The sequence below is a fragment of the Homo sapiens genome, chromosome 1 (assembly GCF_000001405.40).
Source record: "Homo sapiens chromosome 1, GRCh38.p14 Primary Assembly".
NCBI classification, from domain to species: Eukaryota; Metazoa; Chordata; class Mammalia; order Primates; family Hominidae; genus Homo; species Homo sapiens.
The window spans coordinates 222,444,660-222,456,672 of record NC_000001.11 but is presented as its reverse complement, the minus strand read 5'-3'; the positions used below and the strand labels follow the sequence as shown (position 1 = coordinate 222,456,672).

Below are 12,013 nucleotides of genomic sequence, written 5' to 3'. Positions count from 1 at the left end.
ATTTCTTACAGAGGATAGCTACAGTCTTTATGTCTTTAAATCTAAATCTAGATATATTATTTGAATAGTGCTAGCATACTCTGGCAGAACTTTTGAGAGTGAGGACTGTTCCAGAACTATCTGTGCTATGTGACCTCAGGATCTGGAGGTGGTGACAGGCTCAGATTTTACAGTCAGGAAAGTCTGGTTTCAAATGGTAGTTCAGCCACTGACAGCTCTGCACCCTTGGCCAAGTTACTTGGCATCTCTGATCTTCAGTTTCCTTGTAATGTGAATGTTTTGTCAACACAGACTGGTTTCTTGGTTGTGAAGACTAAATAAGATAAGGCCATAAAAGTCTCAGCACGTAATTAGTGCCTTTTAGGAAGCCGATGACTTATCCATTAGCTGGTGGTGCAATTTTACCTTTTAAATGATAGCAGTACTAGTAATTATTACTGTTGTTGTTCTTCTTATATTCCATGTATTTGCCTTCCAGATAGGTGGTTCTTAAGCAGAGGTGATTTTGTACCCCCAGGAAACATTTGGCAATGTCTATAGGTATTTTGATTGTTATAACAGGGGTGGAGGTTTGGGGACAGTGGTGGGGTGCCAGTGACACCAGTGGGTAGAGGCCAAGGATACTACTAAATGCTCATAATGCGCAGGCAGCCTCCCAACAACAAAGACCTATCTGACCCGATGGTGCGAAGGTCAAGAGACTCTGCTGTAGATATCTGTAAGTAATTGGGAGCTTGAGGGCCCAGAGCCACTGGGTGGTGACAGGATGATAATTCTCAATTTTTGCTATTGTGTGGCAAGGGGGCAATGTGTTTAGGGGGTTGCAAACAGCTCCATGTCTACTCTCAATCACCACAGAGGAAGGACTTTCCAACTCTTTACATATGAGTTGCTGTGGTAACCGGTAAGTAATAACCCTGGGGTTTATACTCCTTAGAGGTGCTGTGAGGATAATCTTGCACCTAAAGTTTAGAAACACTGGTATCAAAGCCTAAAGAAGACAAGACGATTGCATCAGATCCCACAGGAGGGCTGTCTTTCTCCATGCTTGTGTTTTGGGCCCCTGGGGGTTGCATCAGCCTCCTCACTCATGAGCTCATCATTTATAAATGACAGCCGCCAAAGTCGGGAAGTATGAAACAGTTGCCAAATGGAGAACTTGCTCAGCTTTCTTGCTGGAGCCCTGTGTCTTAACTTACTTATATTAAAAAATAAAAGGAGCACAATTCTGCTAGGCAAGCTCTGCTATGTGAGAAGGGAAGAATACATGCAGAACTTCTCGTTGAGAGCACAGAACATTTTCGTGTCTGTCGAGATCACCGTGGTTGCTGAACGTGGCCGCTGTTGAGCAAGTGGTCAGTAGGTGGCGCTAAGTCATCGCCGAGAGGACGCTCCTGTCCTAGACCTGAGTTACTGTCAGTCTTGGAGCGCGCACACCCCAGAGTGAAAAATATAGTAACAGGAAAGATTTAGTTCTTAAAATAAGTCAGCAGCTCAGCGAAGCAGATACTACCTCGGCAGGTACATTTTCTTTCTTGAACTGATGGAAAAGGGCATTTACTGCCTACAGGCTTCTGGCTACAGAAATCAAACAATCAAAATATTCAATTAAATGAAACCAGCAGCAGGCCTGGCCCCAGAAGAGAATGAGAACCAGCTGGGCTCAGCCCTATGTCTGGGATCCGGTACCGACGTTCCTCTGTACTGACACGTCCGGAGCCAATGTCGAGTCACGAGTCACCCAGGCACGGTTTTCTCTCTCCAGTGAAGGCTTTGGGTGCTGAGATGTGCAGTTGTAACGTGTAGCATGGAGACCATTTTAGTGATCTAGCTGGCTCTTCTTAAATTATGGGAGTCCTGGCCGTACATGTAGGTGAGGACGCCACCTTTCCCACCTACGTGAGAAGGTAGGAGAGTGGAGATCCCTTGAGGCGCTGGAACAGGAGTGTTGTCATGGTGATGGGGCCAGTCACAGGGCTCACCAGTCCCTTTGGCGGAGTCTCTGCCTCAATTGTAAGGGAATTTGGAATCACTGGATCAGATGCAAGTTCACAGTCATGTTGCCACTTTTTTCCACAATCTATAGCCCCCACCGTGAAAGCTCCAGTGGGTCATGCTTTAGAAAGGGGAGGGAGGTAAAGAGTGGGTGGGGGGCTTTGAATCCAATAGTCCTGTATCCCAGCTCTGCCACCAGTGAGCTCTGTGACCTTGCAAATGCCATTTTGCTTAAGCTTCAAAGCTCTCCTCTGTAAAATATGCATAGAATGGGCAGGAGGGCTGCCAATGAGCTGCTTGAAATGAGTTCACATCTCTTGGAAGCAGAGAAAGCTTACAACTAAAGTGGCCAGACAGCCATATGTGATCTTAGAAGAACTGTTGAACCCAGAGAGAGGCCTCGAAAATGGAGATGGGCAAATGCCATTCCCACCATGCGAATCCCTTTCCCATTTTTGCTTGTGGCTGCCCAGACTCGGTCCCTACCCACGCTTAATAAATTCTTACAATTTATTCTCCTGCCCTTCAGCTTGACTTGTAATAATGTAATGATGGCTATCAGGGTTGGAACAGCAAGCACGATACCAGCACTTTAGGAAGATTAGTTTCCTCTATTTAATGCTCATGACTACCTGCAAGGTAAGTGTTGTCACACCGGGTACAGATGAGGAAATGAAGGCAAATCTCTGCGCAAAGTCCTGGGTGGGTGGGCTGGAGAGTTGGGAGCCTGACTCGGGTTTATCTGAGAAAACAAGTGGGCAGGAAACTCAACTGCTCCACATGAGATGCAGAAGTTCTGCCATTTTTTTCTCAGATTATAAAGTGTCAGAGGCTGCTCTGGAAAAAAAAGGTGCAATGAATTCTTGTTCAATCATTAATGGTGCTTCAAAGGACATACAGGCCCATGCACACATCCTTCTATGTAGGTACAGAGAATTATTTTTATCCTGAGTTGCACACATTTATTATGTTATTAATAGCATGGACTCAACTGGGTGTCCCACAGAGTGACTCTTCTAATGACTGGTTAGGAAATTTGACAGCAAGTAAGAGGGCGGTGAGCCTGCTTTCTGGTCTGGGCCTGAGTGACCCCCCATCTTCCTCCATTTGGTTGAGAACAGGCTACAGGTCAGACCTCAGCCACTGGGATACTGAACCAGGGCTTCCTGGACCAGCGCCTCTTTAGGGTTGAACACTCACCTTCCTGCAGTACAAAGCAGTGGGCAGTCTCGAGTGCCCTTCTGAGGTCAGCCTGTTGGGGTGTAAATGGTTCTTGAAATGCATCTGATTTCCAGCTTGTTAGCATCTCATTGTCTCCCTTAGAGTTTCAGCCTCCCTTAGAGTCCTCACACCTTGTCAAGACAGATGCTTCCTGGAACAGGATCTCTGAGCTGTGGAATGGAAAGTACCTTTATCATCTTTGCCTGTCTCCTAACAGGTTTGTCCCTTGTCATTCTATGTCAGTTTCAGGTAGGGTGGCAGGAGAAGGGAATTTGTTGAGAGCCCACCGTGCTTCAGGTACATATTAGGTGCCTTATATACATTATCTCACTTAATACTCAAAACCCCCCTGTCAGGTAGCTGTAATTAGCTCTGACTTAGAAGTTTCTAACCATGCAACTTGCAAATGTTGTACCTGGGATTTAAAGCTCAGATCTGAGCTCTTCCTAGTACATCTTACTCTTGAAATGTGTGCTTTAATACATTTATTTAATCATCTTTTTTGCAAAAAGGACTGTGCTAGGCAATCTAGAGTGAGGCATGGTTCTTGTCCTTAGGGAACTCCAGTACCATTGTGGGAGGAAGATTCACACAGACGGAAGTTAATGAATAATGTGAAGAAATGTCACACATGTCCAGTGAGAAGAAATGATGTGTGCTACAGGACTTCAACTGAGGAAGGGATGCCTGCGTGGTCAGAGGAGGCTCATGGAAAAGGTAGGATATGAATTCGTTTTTGAAACATGAATAAGATTTGGGTGGGGGCAGAGATGGGACACATTACACTTGCAGTGAACCCACCTGGTGTGTTCTGAGAATAGAGCAGCTTCATGATGGGAATAGGGGTGGAAGAGCGATCCCTTTGGGGTGGGAGACTTAATGCCAGGTTCTGGAATTTGGACTTCGTCCTGAAGGCAATGGGGGAACTACCAGCATTTTCTGATTGGGGTGGGGAGTAGGTAATGACTTGAGAAAAGTAGAACTTTTAGAAATACTAATGAGGAAACAAATGGTAGAAAGGATTGGTGAAAAGAGAGACTAGGGAGGAGGGAAAAAGGGAGAAGACTTAGGAAGCTGATCATTTGCCCATCATGTAAGTGCCAAGTAATATGCTAAGAAACTTTGTGTCACCTATAATCTCGTATCCTCAGCCGGTCCTTATGCAACATCTATTATTATCCCAGGTTCGTAAGATGATCATGTGTCACTACCACCCAACAAACCTGTTTTCTCTTCTTCCTGGGAATACAGCTAGACCAAATATTCCAGGCTCTTTAGGTGTGGCCATGGGTATCCCTTCCAGGCCTGGCTTATACAATCTCCCTGGGCAATCTCTCCTCCTCTTCCCCTGTCTGCTGAATGTTGATGAGCAAGGTGACCATTGTGGCTAGCTACTGGGGGCTTGTCTTTGCCCTGCTTCATCCTCTGGATTCCAACAGGGACCCCAGGCCCTTGCCTTAGCAGGGAAGGGACAGGAGGCAGCAGAGACCAGTGTCTGGACATCAGTGATTGTAGCTTCAAGGGGAGCATTGGAGTCTCTCACAGGCTGATCCATGGACTGCAGGTGCCACCTTATCTGTACTCAGGGTATTTGGAGAAGGGAATTATGGAAAGAGACTGGTCATCCTGCTGCTCTGGGCAGGTAGGGGCTCAGTGTGGTTATGGTTTGAAAATTAAAACAAACATCTTTTACCTTTTTTTTTTTTTTGAGATGAAGTCTTGCTCTGTCACCCTGACTAGAGTGCAGTGGCACGATCTCGGCTCACTGCCTCCCAGGTTCAAGTGATTCTCCAAGATGTGATAATTTAGTTACCAAATGACGGCAGTGAGAATGAAAATCAAGGGACAAAAGATGATCAATACTATGGGGTGAATAAATTACTACATTTGGTGATTGATTCAAGATTTAAGATGTCACGAGTATAGCTTAGAGATAAGTGATTAGGGATCTAAGGGAGGAGTTCAAGAAAACTCTCTGCTCGTCCCAAGCCAAACTCCCTATGTGTGCTATGGTTCCTAAACCCTCCCTCCAATCAAGTGTTTGCTTCTACAATTACTTCTTTTTCCCTGACATCTTCACATTTTCCTTCTCCCCTGGCTCATACTCATCAGCATATAAATATGCTGGAATCTCCTAACATAAAACGCCTCATGTTAGACTTAGTTTTAACTCCTGCTCCATTTCTCTGCTCCTGTTTCTCTTAAAGCTCCTGAGAAGGGCTGTGTGCTCTTGCTGTGTCTGCTTCATCCCTCACTTCCCATTCTCTCACGGGTTCCCTCCCATGCACCACTGAAACTACCCTTGTCTCCTCTTTCGAGCTCCAGGTTGCCAAAGCCAATGGCCGATGCTGTCTTCACCCTACTGGGGCCCTGGGCTCCGCCGACTCTTCTAGGGATGTTTCTTTGCTTTGCTTCTGGGAAAGTGCACTCCTGATTTTCTTCTAACTTTCAGGCAGCAACAGCTCCTTCTGTCTCCAGGCTGCCTTTTTGTTTTTTTTTTCTGTTTTTGGTTTGTTTGTTTGTTTTTGAGATGGTGTCTCACTCTGTTGCCCAGGCTGGAGTGCAATGGTGTGATCTTGGCTCACTGCAACCTCCGCCTCCGGGTTCAAGTGATTCTCCTGTCTCAGCCTCCCAAGTAGCTGGGATTATAGGTGTGTGCCACTACTCCTGGCTAATTTTTGTATTTTTAGTAGAGACGGGGTTTCACCATGTTGGCCAGGCTGGTCTCGAACTCCTGACCTCAGGTGATCCACCTCCCTCAGCCTCCCAAAGTGTTGGGATTACAGGCGTGAGCCACCACACCTGGCCCAGGTGTGGTGCCTTTTCATTCTCCTCCAAATCTCTGAATGTCGACACATCCCGGGACAGGTCCCCTGCTTCTTTTCTTTCTCCAGGTTCCCTTACTGAATGAGCTCATCTTGACCCAGAGTGTTCAATATCTGTGTGAAACACTATAAACTCCTAAAATGGTAAGAAAAAGAAAAGAAAATGGAGGCCTCCCCGCCATGATCTCCTAAGCCTGTTGTATTTTTGTTCATAGCGTTCATCACCACCTGATGTAATATTTTATGTTTATTTTTGGCTTACCGTGTGGGTTCCCCCATCCATGAGGACAGCGGCCCTGTCCTGTTCAATGCTGCAGCCCCCGCCCCTGGGCAATGCCCACACAGGGTGGGCACCCAGTCTGTTCTTGTGGGATATGTGACAGAACAGAGCCTGGCTCCTGATGAGGAATGTGAGTCAAGGGACAAGCTGGTTTGGGAAACTGGAGACTGATCCTGTGTTGGGCCTGCTGAGCTGCAGGCCACCCAGGTGGAGTTCCACATGCCGCTGGACATTCCAGGCTGCAGCCTGGGGGAGGCCTGAGTTGGAGATGTGTGTCCTCGTTAAGGTGCTGCTGGGCTGGGCATGGTGGCTCACGCCTATAATCCCAGCACTTTGGGAGGCCAAGGTGGGTGGATCATTTGAGATCAGGAGTTGGAGACCAGCCTGGCCAACATGGTGAAACCCCATCTCTACTGAAAATATAAAAATTACCCGGGTGTGGTGGCACATGCCTGTAATCCCAGCTACTCAGGAGGCTGAGGCAGGAGAATCGCTTCAACCTGGGAGGCGGAAGTTGCAGTGAGCTGAGATTGTGCCACTGTACTCCAGCCTGGGCTACAGAGTGAGGCTCCATCTCAAAAAAAAAAAAAAAAAAAAGTTGCTGCTGAAGCCAAAGGGTGTGTGAGCCCCTAGGACCTAGGGGATCAGCAGCTGGGGCCTGAAGTTTGGGAAATGAGGTGCAGGTTGGGGCTGAGGAACAATGGGAGCACAGAGATGTTATCTTGTCTGGGAAAGAAGGCAAGAGGTTCAAAACAGATGGGCTGGCTAGCAGTTTGAAACATTGTAGAAAATCAAATAAAATGCGCTGAATTTGGTAATTAGGTCATTGGAGAATGCAGCTGAGTGGAGCAGAACTGATGATATTTCAGGAGCTTCAAATATTGGAGTATTGCAGGCTATTGTGACGGGGGTTTGATAAGAGAAGGAAAGCAAGGTATAGGATGGCAGTCTAAGGGGGCAGCAGTGTGTGTGATAGGAAAGGTGTTTTGTCCCTTAACGTTGGGGAGGCCTGGGTATATGTGACACCCTGCTCATCAGAGCTTCTGAAGACCTAGGGTACACAGATGAGCAAAACCAACAAATTCATATAACAGATTATTTACATCAACAAGTAATATATATGCACTGGCCTAAAGAAATCAACAAATTTATATACCACAGCATTAAAACAATGTTCTGCTGGGTGCAGTGGGTCACACCTGTGATTGCAATCCTTTGGGAGGAGAGGAAGGAATATCACTTGAGCTCAGGAGTTTGAGACCAGCTTGGGCAACATAGTAAGACCCCCATCTCTGCAAAAAATAAAATAAAATAAAAATGTTAGCTGGGCATGGTGGCACACACCTGTGGTCCCAGCTACTCAGGAGGCTGAGACAGGAGGATCTCTTGAGCACAGGAAGGCTGCAGTGAACCATGATCATGCCACTGCACTCCAGCCTGGGTGACAAAGCAAGATGCTGTCTCAACAAAACAAAACAAAATAACCAAAATACCCCCCAAAACAGTGTTCTGTAACTAACAGATTAGCTCTATGGTTGATTATAATCTAAGTTCTTAACAAATTGATGATATTTATGAATCTTAGCCACACCCAACAGCTGAATTTTCTCCTAGAGTTGTTAGGAGCTCAGGTGTGAAACTGTTTCAGATTACAACTTCATTACCAATTTGACCCAAAAGACTCTTTTCTGAGAGAGGGGGTCCACCCAGCAGGAATTTTCTCACTTGATTGAGAGTAAGGTGTTAAGGCCAAACACTCTCACTTAGAGATAAATTGATCAGTGAAATGGATGTGCGGGTTTTGATTCATTCATACCAGGGCTTACTCATTAAGCCAATATGTGCCTCATCTATTGAATTCCTACTATATGCCATACCCTTTAAAAGACATTGTGGATGATCCAAAGAGGAATTAAAAATGGTGATCTCTGTCCACAGGAAGACATGAAAATGCCTAACATTTTTGTAAGCTCTTTGCTTTGCAAATCCTTTCTCACGTGTGATCTGAGAGATGAGTTTTATTATTATCTTAGTTTTTGTCTGGGCACAGCAGCTTATGCTTGTAATCCCATTGTTTTGGGAGGCTGAGGCAGGAGGATTGCTTGAGCCCAGGAGTTCAAAGCTTCAGTGAGCCATGATTGCACCACTGTACTCCAGCCTGGGCAACAGAGCAAGATCCTGCCTGTCTTTCTGAAAAATCAAGAAAAACCTAAACCAAAAATTACCTTAGCTTTTATAGTTGAGGTTAAGTAAACTGCTTAAGTTTGTGCAGGAGTAGAGATTGTCCTAATAAGTGGAAGAGGGGAAAAGGCTGGAGGGAGGAAAGCAAGATTGGGGAAGTCAGAACCAGGGGAGGATAACCTGAGCCCAGGAAAGAGGGCCTTTGGAAGGGAGAGTGGTTGGTCTTCTCAGATGTGGTGGAAGGAAAAAGGATGGGGATAAAGTGGAGGAAATGGGGACATTCATTCTGTGGCCCCCAAATCATGGTGAAATGTGAGATGAGATGGTAAGCTTTATGAGAGAGTGAGAGTTTTAGGGAGGGCAAGGCAGGTTTCACCCCAGCACTGTGGGCAGTGGGAAGGCCTCAGCAGAACCACAGGGAGTCTGGTGGCAGTTAGGTGCTTGGATTCACTAGAAGCTCGGTGACCCTGGAGCAGGGATGGGGGAGCAGCATTCAGGACTGCAAACGGGCACTGGGTTCTTCCCTTTTTCTTGATTATTAGATCCTATGGTGAAGACATTGGGTTTTCTCATTTAAAAAAATTATGTGTTGGTTTGTGCAGTGCATAAACTAAGTACAAAATAATTTTTGTAGACGGTTCAATTTATGGTCTCCTAGCTACCTTTTAAAAACAGGCTCTGGTGATGAGAAGCCCAGAGAGCTGCTTTTTCCTGCTTTTCATCCTAAGTTTTCCTTTATTCATTCCACACTATTTAATGACTTCACACTCAGTGTGAGAGATGATGCTGTGGGAAACATAAAAATGAATCAGACACTGGTTCTGTCCTCAGGAAGCTTTAAGCTATGATTTGAACTTAAAAGGATTAAGTGCTAAAAGAGAGGAAAAAATGAAGTGAGGAGGAGGGGATGGTCACGTCCATGGGGGATAACTGGAAAAGCTTCATGGAGAGTTGGGCCTTGAAAGAGTTTGGGTTTGGCCCTGCAGAGGAAAGTGTGCTCTAGCTGCACTCAGTAGGTGTTTATTGAATGAATGAATAAAAGCTGAATGTGATGTCACCTAGTAAGGTGATCAGAAAGGAGGACCGAGTCCAGATAAAGATAACAACAAGCTTGTAACACATATCATGCCCCAGACACTGTTCAAACACACTTTTATATATTGTTAACTTGATCCTCATGACAGCCCTGTGACACAGGGGCCATGATTTCCAAGTTTACGGATGAGGAGACTGGCCCAGAGAGGATAAGTAACTTGCCCAAACGTTCACAGTTTGTGAGTGGTGAGCAGAGCTTCGACTCTTGGCCACGTTATTGGAAGACTGATGTCAAGAAGTAAGCATCCTTCCTGTACTTTTGTCTGCTATCATCAGCCTGATCCACAGACCTGAATGCACAAGCCCTCACCTCCACTTTGATCTCATTACTGTATGCATCCTCTCTCTGGTTAATGCCTCCCATGCCTATGCTCACTCTCTTTCCCAGGCTGGAGATGGCATTGGGAGGCTGCAGGTGGCACCAGGGACCTCATGGGCAGAATCCCAGGGGAGCACAGGCTATTGCTGGGCAGCTCACTGCAGACTCAGGCAGTGAGTGGTAATTGCAAATAACTACAGCAACGGGTCTTAGTTTAACCTTGCTCATTTCCAGAGTTCCGCGTTTTTGATTTTGTAGACTTTGCAGCATGGTATTAATGCCAAAATAATTTGGATAAATATAAGCCCCGCAAACTCCTTGGCCTATGGTCAAGTTTTTCCTTTTCTGTGGCTAGTTTTTTATATGCACTGATGAATAGGCCAATCTGTGTGCCGATATTAATAAGATTCACCACAGCGATGAAAATGCTTCATCATGCCTCTGCAGGTCAGAACTTGGGGATGGGGTACTGAATCGACAGGAACAACACTGACGTGTGTCAAAGGACTTGTGTCTGGAAAAGGAAAGGGAACCTAAGAGGGTCCCATGTATTTGGTGTATATTATAACAGCTTATGCTGGACCTATGTCAAGGCACAAGGACCTTCTGACATCTAAGACCTGGTAACATCACTCCATCTGGCTTTATGATTGGGCTTTAACAGTGACCACCAACATGAGGACCCACCATATGCCAGGAACAGGGCATGATATTGGAGAGCTACCAATGCCTGAGGCTTGGACCCTGCCTCGGGGGAACCCAGCTTCGCAGAAAAGATAGTTACATAAATGCACGACTCATGCTGCCATGTGCATGGACTGTCCCAGAGGTGGGTATAGGGTGCTCAGGAACACAGATGAGGGGACATGAGGAGGGAGGGAGGGCTGAGATGGCTACAGAGAGGAGCTGACCATTGAAGGATGGTGATATGGTTTGGATATTTGTCCCCTCCAAATCTCATGTTGAAATATGATCTCCAGTGTGTTGGAGATGGGGCATAGCGGGAGGTGTTGGGTCATGGAGGTGGCTTTCTCAAGAATGGCTTAGTGCCATCTCCATGGTGATAAGTGAGGTTTTGCTCTATTAGTTCATGCAAGAGCTATTTGTTAAAAGGAGTCTGGCACCTCCTCCTCTCTGTCTTATTCTCTCTCTTGCCTTGTGACACACCTGCTTCCCCTTCACCTTCTGCCATGACTGTAAGCATCCTGAGGCCCTCACCAGAAGCAGTTGTTGGCATTGTGCTTCTTGTACTGTCTGCAGAAACATGAGTCCAAATAAACATCTTTTCTTTATAAACTGCTCAGCCTCAGATATTCCTTTGAAATGCAAAATGGACTAACACAGACGGGTAAATGTGATTGATTTTGTGTTAGTGGATTTACTATTTAGTTTGAAGGGTCTGCTTGGGATAGTATGATGTTCTACATGAAGTGACTGGGTGAAAGACAGATATTCATACGCAGATTTATCACAATTTTTGTAGTCTGAGTGCCACAGTTTCCTCATGACTCTTGCCACTCTCCCTCACCCCAACCTCCAAGGACCAAGAGTCAGGTGATCCTAGTGGTTTGATTCCCACTTCTGTGGTGCAGAGGGCTGGACTCAGGCATGAGTGACCCAAGGAAGGCGGGGCCCTTGTCTCCAGAGTCTTGTCTAGAGCTTGGTTTCTACCTCCCTGGAATGGCTATGAGGAAATTGGTGAGGGAGTCCCCTAGAGAGTACCTAGCTACCTCCATCCTAGTCTCTCAACTCTAATAGGATTGGCACTGCTCTAGGCCCTGGGATATTACTAAGAGTAGAGGAATGCAGCTGGAGAGAGCTGGGAAGGGGAAACAAAGATGTGCAGAGGGGGATTTTGATGCCGAGCCTTGGTAACATTAACCCTTATTTTCAAAGCCCCTTTTCTTTCCCACTCATCCACCTCTCCAGGTCGACACATGTGTGCTGTGCATCTGACCTAGCAGCAGGATTAAGTGTGCCCCTGGATTCAGGGCACAGAGGTGTAGGTGAGCTGTCTGACATTCTCATCTGCATGAAGGGATAAACTGTGCTTGAATCTAATCCACAAACGAAAGTGTAAAGCTATTAGGCGGGACT

At 46.2% G+C, this 12,013-nt stretch overlaps 1 annotated feature.

Annotated features, from left to right (window-relative positions):
- Positions 1,239-1,288: an enhancer, noted in NCBI's record as "active region_2575". NCBI's record gives its function as "activates an Ori minimal core promoter by ATAC-STARR-seq in GM12878 lymphoblastoid cells {active_cell/tissue: GM12878}" and the evidence as "EXISTENCE:reporter gene assay evidence [ECO:0000049][PMID:35858748]".